Source organism: Homo sapiens, chromosome 1 (genome assembly GCF_000001405.40).
Source record: "Homo sapiens chromosome 1, GRCh38.p14 Primary Assembly".
NCBI lineage: Eukaryota > Metazoa > Chordata > Mammalia > Primates > Hominidae > Homo > Homo sapiens.
The window spans coordinates 147,097,897-147,114,564 of record NC_000001.11 but is presented as its reverse complement, the minus strand read 5'-3'; the positions used below and the strand labels follow the sequence as shown (position 1 = coordinate 147,114,564).

General features: G+C 44.9%; 1 pseudogene across 1 annotated transcript; it reads left to right on the top strand.

The window, feature by feature from the left end:
* Positions 1-218: 218 nt before the first annotated feature.
* On the top strand, positions 219-15,083 carry NBPF13P (NBPF member 13, pseudogene; annotated as a pseudogene). Its single transcript, NR_103466.1, has 6 exons — positions 219-345; positions 953-1,123; positions 3,718-3,769; positions 4,531-4,703; positions 12,896-13,109; positions 14,672-15,083. The product of NR_103466.1 is annotated as an NBPF member 13, pseudogene (transcript).
* Positions 15,084-16,668: the final 1,585 nt, after the last annotated feature.

Genomic DNA, 16,668 nt, shown 5'->3' with positions numbered 1-16,668 from the left:
TTTGCCTACAATTTATTGGGGAAAATATTGCTCATTTGTGTACACAGACCTAGGACAGAGCACATAGGGAAGATAACATTCCAAAACAGGGGAATTTTGCCCAAGGCTCATGAAAGAACCCAAGCCAGTTTTCTCAAGACTTGACCTCAGGCCTACTGGAATATTTCTCTCAAAGTCTCCTGTTCTCACACTGAGAAGACTGAAGTCCCTGTGTTAGGATTGGACAGAGGAATGTTTCTGTGTGCAAGGAAGAACTGCTTAATGTAAGAGGCCCCATCTGAATTTATTTGCAGGACCTCAGTGTGATCAAGTGAAAAAGGACGATCGAGAGGCAACATGTCCCAGGTGAGTCTGAGAAATTGTGGGCAGTTAATTTGGTGTTGACACCTGGAGATGCCAAGTCCAGGGAAAACAGAACATGCTGAAAATAATGATTTCATTCTTGTCAGCCAAGCCTGAATTACTCCTACTAATATTGCTGTTGCTTTTCATTGCAGTAAATGTTTAGGTTTCCATTTCTTCCTACCCTTATCATTTTCTAACCTAGTGAAGGTTGGCCATACCTCAAAAGCTGTATTCTCATGGCGACTGCACAGAAACTTGAGCACATTTTATGGAAAATTATTGAGCCCACTCTATTCATGCTCACTGTTTGCTGTGTGTCCTCAGGGCACCAACTCAGAGTGTCCTTTAACTCCCTCATCAGTGTGTCACCTGGACAATTCACTAAGTTCTCTTTGTCTGTCTCTCTTTCTTTCTGTCTGTATTTCTCTTTCATCATTTACTACCCAGCCATGGCCTATTCCAATATAAAGGCAATAATTTGTTACCTCATTAATGGATCTATCCCTTTTCTTTTTTAACCACTTCTTTATGCCCCATGAAATCTAGCTGGGGCTCTGTGGTTTCTCATTTTCCCTCACTTACCCTTAGTTTTTCCTACTTCTTCAAGCTCAGCAGGGAGCTGTTGGAAGTGGAAGAGCCTGAAGTCTTGCAGGACTCACTGGATAGATATTATTCGACTCCTACCAGTTATCTTGAACTGCCTGACTCATGCCAGCCCTACAGAAGTACTTTTACTCATTGGAGGAACAGCATGTTGGCTTGGCTCTTGATGGGGACAGTGAGTACCTTACTATGAAGGTGATAGGGCTCCACCTGGTCTTCTGGATAGGGGTCATATTCCTGCTCCAAGTGGCCCTTACTGACCCGAGATGTCATTGCCACAGGGAGGACCTATAGGTGCATGTAGGTTGTAATGAAACTCTAGCTACACTTGGAAGCCCAGACATAGGATGGGCCAGTGAACATGGTTCTATTCCTAGTCTCCAGCCATGCCTGTGGCAACCTGAGCCCACTCTCAACACATTGGACCCAGGCAGATGTAAAAAATTCACAGAACTATGATTTGGACTCAAGGGTTTGTAGGTTTCCTCCTTCATTCTAATTTCAGTGTCTAAAATTCTTGCATTCATGAATGAGCTGGGTATTTGATGATACAGGGCTGAATACTGCAGTTTTCCTCCTAGAAATCATCTGGGACATTTTCTTTGAATCGATGGGAACAATAAGGCATAACTGTTTCCACAACTTGGGATAAATGATTTTGGGATAACGATCTACCAGAATGGGGATATTTCACCCTTGGTTCTGAGATGCAAATCAAAGAATATCATGACCAGCTTTCAGGCCTCCTGAAGTATATCTCTCACATTGTCCTGTTCTCATGCTGAGGAGCCTGAGATCCCTGTGTGGGGATTAGACAGTGGGCTGTTATGGGTGTAGGTGAATTGGCTTATTTTGTCTGTCCCTGTCTGAATGTATTGCAGGAATTAAAAAGGACCAAGAAGAGGAAGAAGACCAAGGCCCACCAGGCCCCGGGTAACTTTGAGCAATTGTGAACAGCTACTTCTCTGTTGACACTTTGAGACTCCTGGTTCAGAGAAAACAGAGCAGGCTGACAATATCGATTACATCTTTTCAACGAAGCCTGAATTATTCCTACTAACATTGCTGTTGGTTTTCATTGCAATAGATATTTAGGTTTCCATTTCTTCCTCCCCTTATCATTTACTAACCTACCGTAGGTGGACCATACTTCAAAAGCTGTATTCTCATGGCAACTGCATGGAAACTTAAGCACATTTTATGGAAAATTATTGAGCCCATTCTTTTCATGATCACTGTACACTGTGTGTCCTGAGGGCACTAACTCGGAGTGTCCTATTACTCCCTCATCAGTGTGTCACCTGGACAATTCACTAAGCTCTTTCTCTCTCTCTCTCTTTCTGTCTCTCTCTCTGTCTCTCTGTCTGTCTTTCTCTTTCATCCTTTTCCATTTGGCCCTGTTCTGTCCCAAGATATAGCCAATAATTTGTTACCTCATTAATGGATGTATCCTTTTCTTTTTATAACTACTACCTTATGCTACTCATGAAATCTAGCTGGGGCTCTGTGGTGTCTGATTTTCTTTGGCTTACTCTTTAATTTTTCCCACTTTTCCAGGCTCAGCAGTGAGCTGCTGGAAGGGGAAGGGCCTGAAGTCTTGCAGGACTCACTGGATAGATGTTATTCAACTCCTTCCAGTTGAACTGCGTGACTCATGCCAGTCCTACAGAAGTGCCTTTTACTCATTGGAGGAATAGCATGTTGGCTTGGCTCTTTACGTGGACAGTAGGTTCCTTACTATGAAGGTGATAAGGCTCCACCTGGTCTTCTGGATAGGGGTCATATTCCTGCACTGAGCAGCCCTTACTGAGCTGAGAGATGTCGTTGCCACAGGCAGGACCTATAGGCGCCTGTAGGTTTGAATGAAACCCTAGTTCCAGTTGGAAGCCCAGACATAGGATGGGTCAGTGGGCATGGCTCTATTCCTATTCTCAGACCATGCCAGTGGCAACCTGTGCTCAGTCTGAAGACATTAGACCCAAGTTAGTTGTGACACGTTCACATAACTATGCAGCACATGCCGGGAGTAATCTATCAGACATTTTAATTTGAGCCACATATCTCTGGGTAGCTACAAAGTTCCTCAGGGATTTCATTTTGCAGGCATGTCTCTGAGCTTCAATACCTGCTCAAGGTCAACGTCATCTTTGTGTACAGCTCATGCAAAGGTGTTACCCTGGTTTTAATTAACCTAACCTCATTCTTTGTATCTTCAATGTCTGCTTGTTTTAGCTGATCTGTCTGTTACCTTTTGTTTTGGTTTTGGAAGCAAGACTGAGCCCTGTCACGTTTTTGATGCCATGAATAACCAATGTTTTTTTTAAAGAACCAAAGAGTTATTTTTGACTCTAGGGTTTGTTAATTTTCTCCCTCATTGTAATTTCAGTGTCTAAAATCCTCGCCTTTGTGAACAAGCTGGGTATTTGATGAGACAGGACTGAATACTGCAGTCTTTTTTTCCAGAAATTATTTTGGGTGTTTGCTTTGAATTGATAGGGAAAATATTGCATAACTGTTGCACAAACTCAGGACAGATGATACTGGGATAATGATCTACCAGAACAGGGGACATTTCACCCTTAGGTTCAGAGACAAAAACCAAGGAATCTGTATCATGTCTGACCCTCAGGCCTCCTGGAATATATCTCTCACAGTGTCCTCTTCTCATGCTCAGGAGACAGATGTTCCTGTTTTAGGATTGGACAGTGGATTGTTGCATGAATAGGGGAATAGACTTAATGTGTCTGTCCCTGTCTGACTTTGTTGCAGACATTGAAAAAAATCAAGAAGAAGAAGAAGACCAAGACCCACAATGCCCCAGGTAACTTTGAGCAATTGCAGACATTTAATTTATTTTTGATATCTGGAGATGCCAGATACAGGGATAACAGAACATACCTGTCCATTCATTCAGCCAACTATGAAATCGCCATATTAGTAATGTTAAGATTATCAGTGTGGAATAATTATTAAGCAGGATTATTAGTCAATATTAATATTATTGGTACAATATTAATAAAGTTGCCTCTTTTCATTTTACACCTATATTTGTATTTGTTTCTCTTATTGATTCCTTCAAAATTGTACTAATCTTTATTCAATTGACTTTGTTGAACTGATCAATCACATTTTCTGCAGTTTCCTTTTCTGCCTTTTTGGCTTAAAGTGAACTTGAGATGCTCATCCAATGTCTGGGTCTTTGCCATTATATTGGCAAATATCTGAGAGCAGGAATGTGAATACACATAATTCATATCATGCCAAAATTTTGAGAACAAGAGGTGTTGAGGTCACAGTAACTCTATCAGTCTATGAAGACACAAGGGTCTGCTGCATGTGCCGTGTCATAGCTCTTTGGTAGAGGGATCATTCCATCTCCTTCCTTTCCAGCTCACTGCCTACCCAGAGCACTGAGCACCTGCTGCTCTGTCTCCTGCTGGAGACAGAGAAGGATCATTCTCTGCCTGAGGGGACTGTTTTTTGCTTCCTCTGGCTTCTCCTGTCAGACTCTCTGTAGAATCAATTGGGCACTGTAGTTTCTGTTCCCTCTAATGTTTATCTTCTGTGTTCTTCACCCACCAGGCTGAGCCCGGATCTGCCAGAGGTGGAGGAACAGGACGTCCCACAGGACTCCCTGGATGAAGTTTACTTGACTCCTTCACTCCCCCATGACCTGTCTGACTGCCAGCAACCTTACAACAGCACGTTGTACTCATTGGAGGATCAGCTCACCTGCTTTGCTCTCGATGTAGCCTGTGAGTACTCCAGCCTGAAGGTCACAAAGCTCTACTATTCTCCTAGGTGGCCTCTATATGTTCTGTTTCCTGTAACTTGTGCAGGTGAGATGGATCATCTCTGCAGCCAGGCCCTGTAAATTCAGAGTGTTTTGAATCTGGTTCTTGGATCCAGTTTTATGCTCATTCGATGGGTGGAACCCCTTTCTCTTGTGCCAGGTGATTCCTCTGTCACCCAACCCCTTCTCACAAGAGCAGGCTGTAGGTATCAAAACAGGCCAGAGAGGGGAATGATGAGGGATCATTGCAAACTCTTGGCCACAACAGCTCACCTGGAGAATTTTATATAACAGACTTCATTCCTTAAGATAGGGCATCTCTCTTTTCAGACATTATGTTGAGCAGCACCCTTCTCATCACATATCCTGAGCAGCGCCCTTCTCTCTTCTCTGGCCATCCACCTATGCTGGCATTTTCCCCCCATTATTTTGGAGGGCTGTTTCATGATTCCTGTGTTTCAAGCCAGATTCTCTACTACCTCCTCTGAGGTGGCTTCCCTCCACTGAGGCAGTTAGTGTCCCTTCCTCCATGTATGGCCATGGCTTGCATCCTCTGTAGAGCCCCGGTGGTTTCTTTCATGTGTGGGTTTGTAGTTTCAATCATGTGTCATCTCAGTGCTATATTCTCATGTGAACCATCAACAACTAGTTTCCCTGATCAGGTGCTGGCCTAACTGATGAAGAAAGCACAGTGGTTCTCATCCCCATGATCTCCAGCAAACCCCTCCTGTGAGCAAGTGACCCTTGAGGTGGCTGTTTCATAGGGTGTGTAAGGGAAAAAAAATTTTATTTTGTTCTCACTCATTCTGTTTTTTTGTACCATTATTCTGAGAATTTCACGTGAATTGTTACGAGTTTTACCCGTTGACTCTTGTAGGAAGAGCAAGTAACTCTGTGATGTCCCCCATCTGAATATGTTGTAATGAAAGTAGTGACTGAAACTTTGGTCTTCCATTCTATTTTGGTCAGTAAGCACCTTCCTGCTGGAACCATCCTCTTTCCTGTGTTTCATTTCTCCTTCAGTTTCAAACAAGCAAAGGCTTTTGCAGGATCACAGCAATTCATAAAATGAAGTAAAATACACATTACGCTTCCACCTGTTGTACACCTTGCCCTTGGCCAAGCAAGCTCTATCCTTGCTATAACCTATGCAGTGCCCAAGGGGCACTCCCAAGTGGGCAGTGGCATCTCCGTGTTAGAGCTGAGGATGCTGAGGCTCAGCAAGGTCCCTTCACTTGCCCAGGATGCCCCGAGTAGTCACAGTGAGAACACGGGCACCACTCCATGGTGCAGTTGCTGTCATTTCTCTGTGGTTGGATCTCTCAGAGACTGAGCTAGGATGAGTGCTCAAGGTTTTTCCCTTTGTAGCAAATTTGTTGGAAATTATTTCAAACTGAAACAGAAAATTTGCTGGTCTGGTACAAAGAACTCCTGTAGCCCCTCACGCACATAACCCAGTGATAAATAGCTTAGTGCACTTTGTCTTTGAGCAGAACCAGTGGCTCCTTCAGTCCCTCCAGGGGGACCTACAGCTCCAGAAGGTGCTTGCTGGAAAATGTCTCAGGGAATGAAAGATGCAGTCTGTTCCTACCTTGTATCACTTGGGTTTCTGCTCTCAACATGGCAGTCTTGGAGCCCTTATAAAGTTACTGGGCTCTGCCTCAGGAACACCCCCACCAGGTCCAGGCTCCCATGAGGAGGAAGGGAAATGCTCAGATACATGTCTCAGAAGTGAGATGTCTGTGATATGGGCCAGCTCTGCCAGGGCATCATGAAACATGGGCCAGGAGAGGCCACGTTCATCCATGCAGACAGGCTGAGATGCATGAATGCACTGTCTCAATTACACCAGAAGACATCCTGTGTGTGGGTTCTGATGATAACCTATGAAGAGTCTGTACCATGCACAGCTGTGATCCTAGCCTTGGTGCCAGAATCGATGTGCTCCACCTATCCTCTCGCTTCAGGGAAAGTTACAGTAGAATCAAACTAAATCATAACTTGATCACTTATTGAGGACTTTTCCCCACCTGCTCAACTAATAATACGTACAGTATTTCAGAAGTTTGAGTTGTTTTTTGTTTCCTTCTGAAAATGCAAAGAATATTAAAAGTATAAGCTTAAGAAGACTTAGTATTCTGAGAAACAGGGATAAAAGGACTTAACAAAATTAAGTATTTAGAGTTAAAAACATTCCCAAACATTGATTCTAAATGGCACTTGCAGAGGACAAGAATGGGAAGCCTGGGTTTGACCAGGCTTCCCCAACCAGATTTGTTGTTTTGAGTTGTTTCCCCATCTGCCCAACATAAACTACCATGAAGTTGCATTGAGTGTCCTAAGTGATGTTTAATGAACAGTAAACTGTGCCCTGAGCAACTAAGGAGGCCACATGAGGTGGCGTGAAGGGCTCGGGGACAAAGACCCAGAAGCTGGAAGGCACCCCATGCAGGGCTGCACCAGAGAGGGGCCAACCTGACTCCAGGGAAGACACTGTATGAGGGAGTGGTGGGAGGTGATGCTGGATAGGATCATGGGACAGAAGTTAGAAGGAGCACAAAGGCAGGGTGAGCGGGGAGAGTCACCCAGTGGGCAGTACTGAGAGAGTTTTCAGAAACAGAGTAAGAATGTGGAAAGAACAGGACTTCTGGGCAATAAAATTGCTGAGACAATTCCTAGTGTGAAGATGGCAGAATTAGAGAAAGCAGTTGTGGGGGTGTATGAAGCCAGGCATCAATGATGAGTCTGTGGGGAAAAGAAAGAGAGCTCAGACTGTTACTGTGTCTACGTAGAAAGAATTAGATGTAAGAGTCTCCATTTTGTTCTGTACTAAGAAAAATTCTTCTGCCTTGAGATGCTGTTAATCTGTAACACTAGCCCCAACCCTGTGCTCACAGAGACATGTGCTGTGTTGACTCCAGGTTTAATGGATTTAGGGCTATGCAGGATGTGCTTTGTTAAAAAAGTGCTTGAAGGCAGCATGCTTGTTAAAACTATCACCACTCCCTAATCTCAAGTATCCAGGGACACAATACACTGCGGAAGGCCGCAGGGACCTCTGCCTAGGAAAACCAGGTATTGTCCAAGGTTTCTCCCCATGTGATAGCCTGAGATATGGCCTCATGGGAAGGGAAAGACCTGATCTTCCCCCAGCCCGACACCCATAAAGGGTCTGTGCTAAGGAGGATTAGTAAAAGAGGAAGGCCTCTTTGCAGTTGAGATAAGAGGAAGGCATCTGTCTCCTGCTCGTCCCTGGGCAATGGAATGTCTCGGTGTAAAACCCGATTGTATGATCTATTTACAGAGATAGGAGAAAACCGCCTTAGGGCTGGAGGTGAGACATGCTAGTGGCAATACTGCTCATTAATGCACCGAGATGTTTGTATACGTGCACATCAAGGCACAACACATTTTCTTAACTTTGTTTATGACACAGAGACCTTTGTTTACATATTTTCCTTCTGACCCTCTCCCCACTATTACCCTATTGTCTTGCCACATCCCCCTCTCCGAGATGGTAGAGATAATGATCAATAAATACTGAGGGAACTCAGAGAACAGTGCTGGCGTGGGTCCTCTGTATGCTGAGCGCTGGTTCCCTGGGCCCACTTTTCTATACTTTGTCTCTGTGTCTTTTTCTTTTCTCAGTCTCTTGTCCCACCTGATGAGAAACGCCCACAGGTGTGGAGGGGCAGGCCACCCCTTCAAGTCTGATACACTGTGCTCTCAGGAAGATGAAGAACAGATACACGGAAGGCATTTTAAGGAAAACTTAGAGAAACCTTGGTGAGAATGAGGATGTGCAGAGGGGAGGAGAGAGAGAGAGGAGCCCTGCAGCAATGTGGATCAGGCCCTGCGGGCCCCGTCCCTCTTCTGAGACCGATCTGGACTGGCGTGAGGCCACTGGAAGTCTTTCCTTAGTCCACTTTCTGAGAGTGTGATTTCCTCTTCCTGTGGAAATAGCAATAATTTTTATGAGGGGGTGCTGCCCGGACCCCACTGGAGGAGTGGGTAAGATGAGGATTGTGCTTGGTGTTGCCTCCCTACAGAACCACACATGCTGATCGGTAATACCTGTGGCCCCTAAGTGTCGGTGAAGGGACTGGTCCCTCTACAACATTGCTTATGACTGCGGACACCCACTATATGGCAACAAGATGTATATGTGTGGGCAGGTGGTAAAACAATTATAGGCAACGGAAATTCAAAATGTTTCAGAACTCTAAAAAGTTCACCTTATGGAGTATTTGGTCTATTGCAGGGGGCCCCAAGCCCCCGGGGCTGTGGTCAGCTACCTGTCCCTGGTCTGTTAGGCACCAGGCTGTGCAGCAGGATATGAGTGGCCAGCAAGCAAGCATATTCCAGCCTGAGCTCTGCCTCCTGTCAGATCAGCGGTGGCATTAGATTCTCATAGAAGCACAAACCCTATTGTGAACTGTGCATGAACGGGATCTAGGTTGCGCGCTCCTTACGAGAATCTAATTAATGCCTGATGATCTGAGGTGGAACAGTTTCATTCCGAAATGATCCTTCCCTCTTTTCACATCCCCCACCCCTGGTCCAAGGAAAAATTGTCTTCCACAAAACCAATCCCTGGGGCAAAAAGTTTGGAGACTGCTAGTCTACAGTGTCCCAAAACCCTTTTCTATGGTTCCTTCCCAAAGCCTGGAGGCTCTAAGTCCTCCCCTATTCTTATACTCCTGTGTGTTGAGAAAAATAGCATTTCCTATGCTCTGAAGATTCTCCAGAACATTCTTTCTAGGCTGCAGGATAGAGATTAATAATAACAGAATATTTGGCATGGCCTTGTTAGCCAATCCAAAGCCCTCTGGGCTGAAGTGGGGGGTTTTCACTTCAGGGACATCCAGCCTGGGTACCTTCCATCTCAGCATCCCCAGGCACAGACAGGAAGGTGACATCACCCCATTTACATGATGTCTGTCTTTGTGGCCTGGGCCACTGGGTGGCTTACCTCAGAGGCGGAGATGTCAGAGATGGGTGTTCTGGGCATGATTAAGAAAGGGAAAAGTGAGAGCGTTCCTACTGAAGCCCCTTCTCCTTTCAGCTCCCACCCAGGTGGCCTGTCCTCACGGGCCTTGGAGTGGAGACTTGAGCCACCACCTGTCAGAGGTGGAGGCTTCACAGGCACAGCTGGAGCCAAGAACCCTGGTGCCCAGTTGTCTGTGACTGCAACTGGATCAAGGGTTTGACTGTGGCTATGGCTTAGCCAGGTGGGGCGTTTCCTCCACCACCTGCAGCTTCACAGCCAACGGTGATCCTGGGAACCAATGGCCCTTCCAAGGTAGGGAAGGAAAGGGCACTAGGAAGCTCTAATCCAGGTGTTGGTAGTCATGGTGCTGTGAGGGGAGGAGGCAATGGGGTCTCTTCGTGCTCCCTCTGAGTCAAGCAGAAATCCACAATGTTCCAACCCAGTGAGGTGAGCAAGAGCCTGGGGTTTAGGATCAAATCTGCTCTCAGGTCCTGGGTTTAACCCTTACTCATTATTGACCTTGGCGAAGTCATTTGTGGTGTTGGTATTTACATCTCAGTTCCGTCATCTGTGAGACCTGAAAAATAATATTAACATTCAATTATTGTTGATAACATTAATTATGAGAATTTCCAAAGGGCTAATTCAATAAAAATTGCTCAATAAATCTATGAATAGATGTTATCTAATTCTGTTATCTTTCTGGTAAATTAGCACTTAGGAAGTATTGTGGGATCTGGCCAGCAGCCCACAATGCAACAGGGTTCTTTCTTTGTTCCCAGGCAGATCGGCAGGTTGAGAAATAATAGACACACACAAGGTAGTGAAAGCTGGATCCAGGGGTGTCACCACCTTCTGGTCCCATGATGCTGCCAATGCACGGGATATACCAGCATTTATTATTAACTTTAGTGAGGGCGGGAGTAGGTTAGTGAGGGATTTAGGATCATCTGATTATGAGTGAGATGGTCACATGTGGATGAAGTAATTTTTTAACATAACATCTGTATGCAGAAGTACAGTATACAGAGATAAGAATTTACAGTATAGTGTGTGCATCAGTAATTTCTAACAGAGCCTTAAAACAGAAGCACAGTCTTTCCATAACCTATGATTAGCAAGATATTAAGCAGCAGTAACAGTTGCAGCAAAAGCTGGTTACAAACAATCCATAGAAACAGGACGTGAAGCTAGATAACCAGTTAGACCAGAAATCCTCAGAAGGGAGTATGCCTTAACCCTAAAGAGGCCTAGAAGAGCCGTGGCAAGATGAGAGTGTTTATAGCCCTATCTTATCCATATGAACAGGCACCCCCCATGTGTCCATTTATAGGCTCTCCACAAGGGTTGCATTCCATTCCCAGAGCTATGAACATCTGCTTTTCTGGGATAGGAATCTTGGTGATGTGAAACCTCCCTGACTGCACGTCCGTTCATAGGGTCTCTGCAGGGGGAAGCACATCATGCGCTGTTGGCTCATTCTGGCGCCCAACCTGGCATTGTCTTTACACAATCCTGCATGCAATGTTGTGTTTACAATAATCAGGAGCATTTCATCTTTTATTCCATAGCAATAGTTTCAGGGGGTCTCCCTACAGGAAGTGACTTCACATGCACTGTTTCATCTTAGGGAGAGTAACTGTTAGGGTCTCTACTCTCTAGGGACCCCTCTTCCTGTGTTTTCTTCGAAAGTCTCTTTTGCCAGTTTTCTTCCTCTTTGTCAGCATCCCTTTTTAAGTCAATTTTCCCCTATCAAGCACTTTCAGTAACAACCTATTAGGCACATTCAGTAAAAGTGCAAATCCTGGGCCCACAAGTCAGTCTCCTGACATACCCAGCTTCTTGCTCTGTTTTTTTTCCCCCTTGTTTTGAAATAAAAGAATGAAAGGGCAACCTTCTCATGGAAAGTGTACAAATCTGTCTGTTTTATGAAACTCCATTTAGTTCATCATCTCCACTCACGTCCATGGCCATGTCCTCAGTTTCCTTCTCCCAGGGTTCCACTTCTGCTCAGATTTCCTTAAAACCCTGGGTCGTGTTCATCCTTACTCTCCGTCCCACTCAATATCTCCTCCTGGAGCCCCTGGGGCTGCCTGTTGCTCATCTGTCAAGTGATGTCCCCAGCTGAGGAATAAGGAGACCTGCGTCCTCAGGAGGAGGGAGGGACATGTGAGATAAAGAGCACCATCTGGGTCGTGGAGAGGACACATGGAAGATGCTCAGTGAGTGTCGGGGGATGTGTAGTCCCTGACATGTGCCCTGATAACTTTAAGTATTTAAACTGATTTCTTCCACTGATGTCTCTTTTGCTTCTCCATGGATTCCCACACCCCCAGTCAGGACTCACCCACCTGGCTCCAACACTCTCACCTGCTGGGTTTCCCAGGAGTCCAGAGCACTAACCAGGCTCCAGGCAAGAGGACAGAGTGAATGCCTTTTGTTTCATTCTCCTTTACTGGTGACTTCTCCCTGCTGTCTAATAGGGCATTTGTTTCTCACCATGTCTTCCCTTTGTCATTCATCTTATTTTTCTGAATTTTTTTCCAATTTCAATGGACCAGATTATAATGTTAGTGATTATAATGCTAATTCAACATCCTCCACATCCCTATGTAATACTTTCTTCCAATAGATTTTTATATATAAATACATGCATTTATGTCATTTGTCATGTACATTATGCATATTTGGCATGTATTTTTAATTAAATGTGTATATATGCTATATATATATCTGTATGATCATTTCATCAATATCCCATGTTTAGTCTTCCCAATTCTTTTCTCTCATATGTGCATTTAATGTTGATTTTGCTTGATTTTTAGAATCTTCTCCCTCCCAAAACACAGCCTGTATCCAGTGTGACTTCCTTGCCTTTGCCTTATCTACCTAGAAGCTATTTGTGTTTATTAATCCTAAGTTTCTTGAATATGTTTGTCAATTGAGATCACCTTTGCCTCCTGGCAATCTTGTCATTATTGGGTGATGCATGAAAAATCAACAATGCAGAAAATACCAAAATGTCTTTCTTGGCTTCCCTTTACCCCTTGGACTTTCTTGTCCAAGGCCACTTTCCTTCTCTGATGATCCTCTTGGGAGGAAGAGAAAGTCACAGTAGGATCATGGATGACAGTGAACACTGTTGGGTGTGGTTTCATTTTCAGAGCTGGGTTTAGAGCCTTCCCTTGAATGAAGAACCCTCCCCAGCTGGAAGGGGATGCTCTTGAAAGCTCAGCTGACAACACACATGGGCATCAAGTCATTGGCCACATTCATGCCTCAAGTGTCCTAAAACCGAATATGATCAAAAGAAAACTGCTGTTCAGCAAGTGGAGACTGGCATGCAGATTCCCTGGCCTGCAAGCCTAGTGTAAAAAGGTAATCACATCTATGGCTCTTAGCTGCACTCACTCCTGTGTCTATGATGACAGCTCATTCTCCCATTGCTTTTCTCTTCCCTATTCATTCTCTCCAGCAGCTGCCATCATGTCTGTCTGGTTTTACCTCTGTGTCCCATGAGCTGCCACCCTCCCAGGACCTTCCATTCCCATCTGCTCTTTGCTCTCTGAACTCTGCTCTGTTCCCATTGCTACCATCTTGGGCGTCCCTCTCACTTCAAAGTTTTGTTTGTCTAGATATTGAGAATATTTCTAAATGTCTTAAGATGTAACCAGGTGTGGAATCAACTTCAGGGAATTAGAGAAAATAAGTTGGGCCATGGTTACAATCCCTGCTCTCTCTTTGCTAACTGCAAGTAGACTCTCTTGTTTTTCTTTCTTTCCTGAGCCCCTTGGAAAGAATACTTATGATTTTATATATATATATATATATATTTTGTTTTTTGTTTTTGTTTTTGTTTTTTTTTGAGACGGAGTCTTGCTCTGTCACCCAGGCTGGAGTGCAGTGGCGCCATCTTGGCTCACTGCAAGCTCCGCCTCCCAGGTTCATGCCATTATCCTGCCTCAGCCTCCTGAGTAGCTGGGACTACAAGTGCCTGCCACCATGCCTGGCTAATTTTTGCATTTTTTGTAGAGACGGGGTTTCACTGTGTTAGCCAGGATAGTCTTGATCTCCTGACCTTGTGATCCACCTGTCTCAGCCTCCCAAAATGCTGGGATTACAGACATGAGCCACCTTGCCCAGCCTTCTATATTTCTCTTTTTTTCATTTTTTATTTGTAACCAACCAAACAAGCAGCAGTGAAATCATATTTCATTGTAAAACTTTATTCCTGTCCTAGCCAAGGTGACCCAACAGCCTCTCATGACTGTTGAGAGTCCAGATTGGAGCCTTTTCTCTCCCTTCTTCCAAACACTATTGAAAGGGTCTGAGGCTGGGCTGTAGTTCCCAGGTGGTCAATAGCAACTCATGTGGCCTTAGTTCAATCTTAGCCCTGTGGCATCACTGCTCCTCTGTTGTGAAAGGCAGAACTGGATGTGGATGTGGTCTGAGGCCTCTGCTGCTTCTCACATCCAGGGTTCTTCCCATGGCCTTCCCACTGCTCCCTTAAAAGACTGGGACATGGAGTTGTAAGGGGGTGGGTTTCTCTGCAAAGGGTCCTCTCCTTCTGCAGCCCTCTGTTTCTGGGCATGCATGGTTGATGCTAAGCACATCCTCACTGGGAGATGTGAAAAGCAATCACTTTGCTCCAAACAGAGCTAATCAGGAAGAAAGGTACTGATGTTACCAGTTGCTAGTAGGGCATAGATGAGGTCCCTACATTCTGCACCCCAGGCTGACTGGAAGTTCTGGGGTATTTTCTTCTCACTTGTGGATGGCACCTGCCACTTCAGCCAGCCTGAGGCTTACCCTGCAGCTGGTCCTCCCAGCAGGAGCTCAGTTTGCCCCTGGGTTATCATCACTTAGCAGTCCCTCCAGACTCAGCCAGACAGGACCAGACAAAGATTCTCATTTGATTTTTGTCTCTCTCTCCCCTAAAGATACCAAATACTGCTGGAAGAATGAAAAGGATGAAAGGATGTCATCAAAGTAGTTTTTTCACTTGATGGAAAAGACTAAAACAGCAAAGCAAGTTCAAGATCAAACACAACACCACAGGGATCCTTTGATGAGAAGTGAACTTAAGACCATGAAATGCTGTTGATGATTTTAACCCACCAGCCTCCTTTGATTTGAGAAGCCACAGCCCTTCCCCCTCCAATTGTGATCAACTATGATCAGTACCTAAGGAGACTGATGCCCAGATGAACAAACAGCATTGAGAGGCCTTAGCCCTGCTCCTCTCAATTCCTATCCCGTAGAGAACAGGAGTCAGGAGCCGCTGGCAGGAGACAGCATGTCACCCGGGACTTTGCCAGTGCAGAATAAGAACAATGCCACGTTCTTGCTGAAAGCACTTAGCCTGAGTTTCGTAGGAGGTAATCACCAGACAACTGCAGAATGTAGAACACTGAGCAGGACAACTGACCTATCTCCTTCACACAGTCCACGTCACCATGAATCACACAACAAAAAAGAGAAGAGACATTTTGGGTTGAAAAAGATTGAAAAGATAATGTAGCTACACTTCTTTGGTCATTTTGAACCCAAAGCATCTCATCTTTTTATTGTTGTCACTGATGGTGGTGACATGGATTTGTTTGTAGAGGACAGGTCAGCTGTCTAGATCATGGTCTACATTCTGAATTTGTCTGAAAATGTCCTTATGATTAAATTCAGCCTAAACATTTTGCTGGGAACACTGCAGAGTCAATGCGGTGAGTTTCCTACCTCAGCCCATCTGCAGGCAGAGAAGGTCCAGTTTGTCCATCACCAGTATCATGATACCAGGACTGGTCAGTTGGTTAAGGAGGGGCCTAGGAGATCTTTCACTTGTAAAGACTCCTTATTTATAATTCATTTGGAAAGTGGTTTGAAAAAGTATAAATATCTTGTATTCTAACGATCTTCCTCTGAACATTTTATCATCAATTAATCACCCCTGCCTGTGTCAGTTATTATATTTCGTGGGCGGCAAGCCATCCAGGTGCCGAGGCAAGAGACTGAGGGCATGAGCTGTTCCAGTATAATAAAATATATAAAACAACAAGAGTTATACTAGATCTAGATCATAGACATGATTATATATGAATATCATTAATCATTAGTTTGTAGCAATTACTCTTTATTCCAATATTATAATAATCCTCGCTCTATAATCATAACCTAGGAAAAACTAGGCCATACAGAGATAGGAGCTGAGGGGACACAGTGAGAAGTGACCAGAAGACAAGAGGGCCAGCCTTCTGTTATGCCCGGACAGGGCCACCAGAGGGCTCCTTGGTCTAGTGGTAATGCCAGCATCTGGGAAGACGCCCATTGCCATGTGGACCGTGGTCTAGCGGTAGCCTCAGTGTCAAGGAAAAACACCCACTACTTAGTGGACTGGGTAAGGGAGTCTCCCTTTCCCCTGGGGAGTTTAGCAAAGATTCTACTCCTCCACCTCTTGTGGAGGGCCTGACATCAGTCAGGCTCGCCCGCAGTTATCTGGAGGCCTAACCGTCTCCCTGTGATGCTGTGCTTCAGTGGTCATGCTCCTAGTCTGCCTTCATGTTCCATCCTGTACACATAGTGCTGCAGTGGACATATGCCAGCATGTATCTTTATAACAGAATGACTTATATTCCTTTGGGTATATGCCCAGTAGTGGAATTACTGGTCAAATGGTATTTCTGCCTGTAGGTCTTTGAGGAGTAGCCACAGTGTCTTTCCCAATGGTTAGACTGACTTACACTCCCACCAACAGTGTAAAAGCATTCCTTTTTCTATGCAACCTTGCCAACATCGGTTGTGGATTTTTTTCTATTTTTGCCTATGGATGTCCATTTTTTCAGCAGAATTTGTTAACAGGACAATGCTTTCTCCCCTGAATTGTTTTGAACCATTGTCCGCCCATTGGCAGGCATGAGACTGGAGAGAGGACTGTCCTATCATTGGA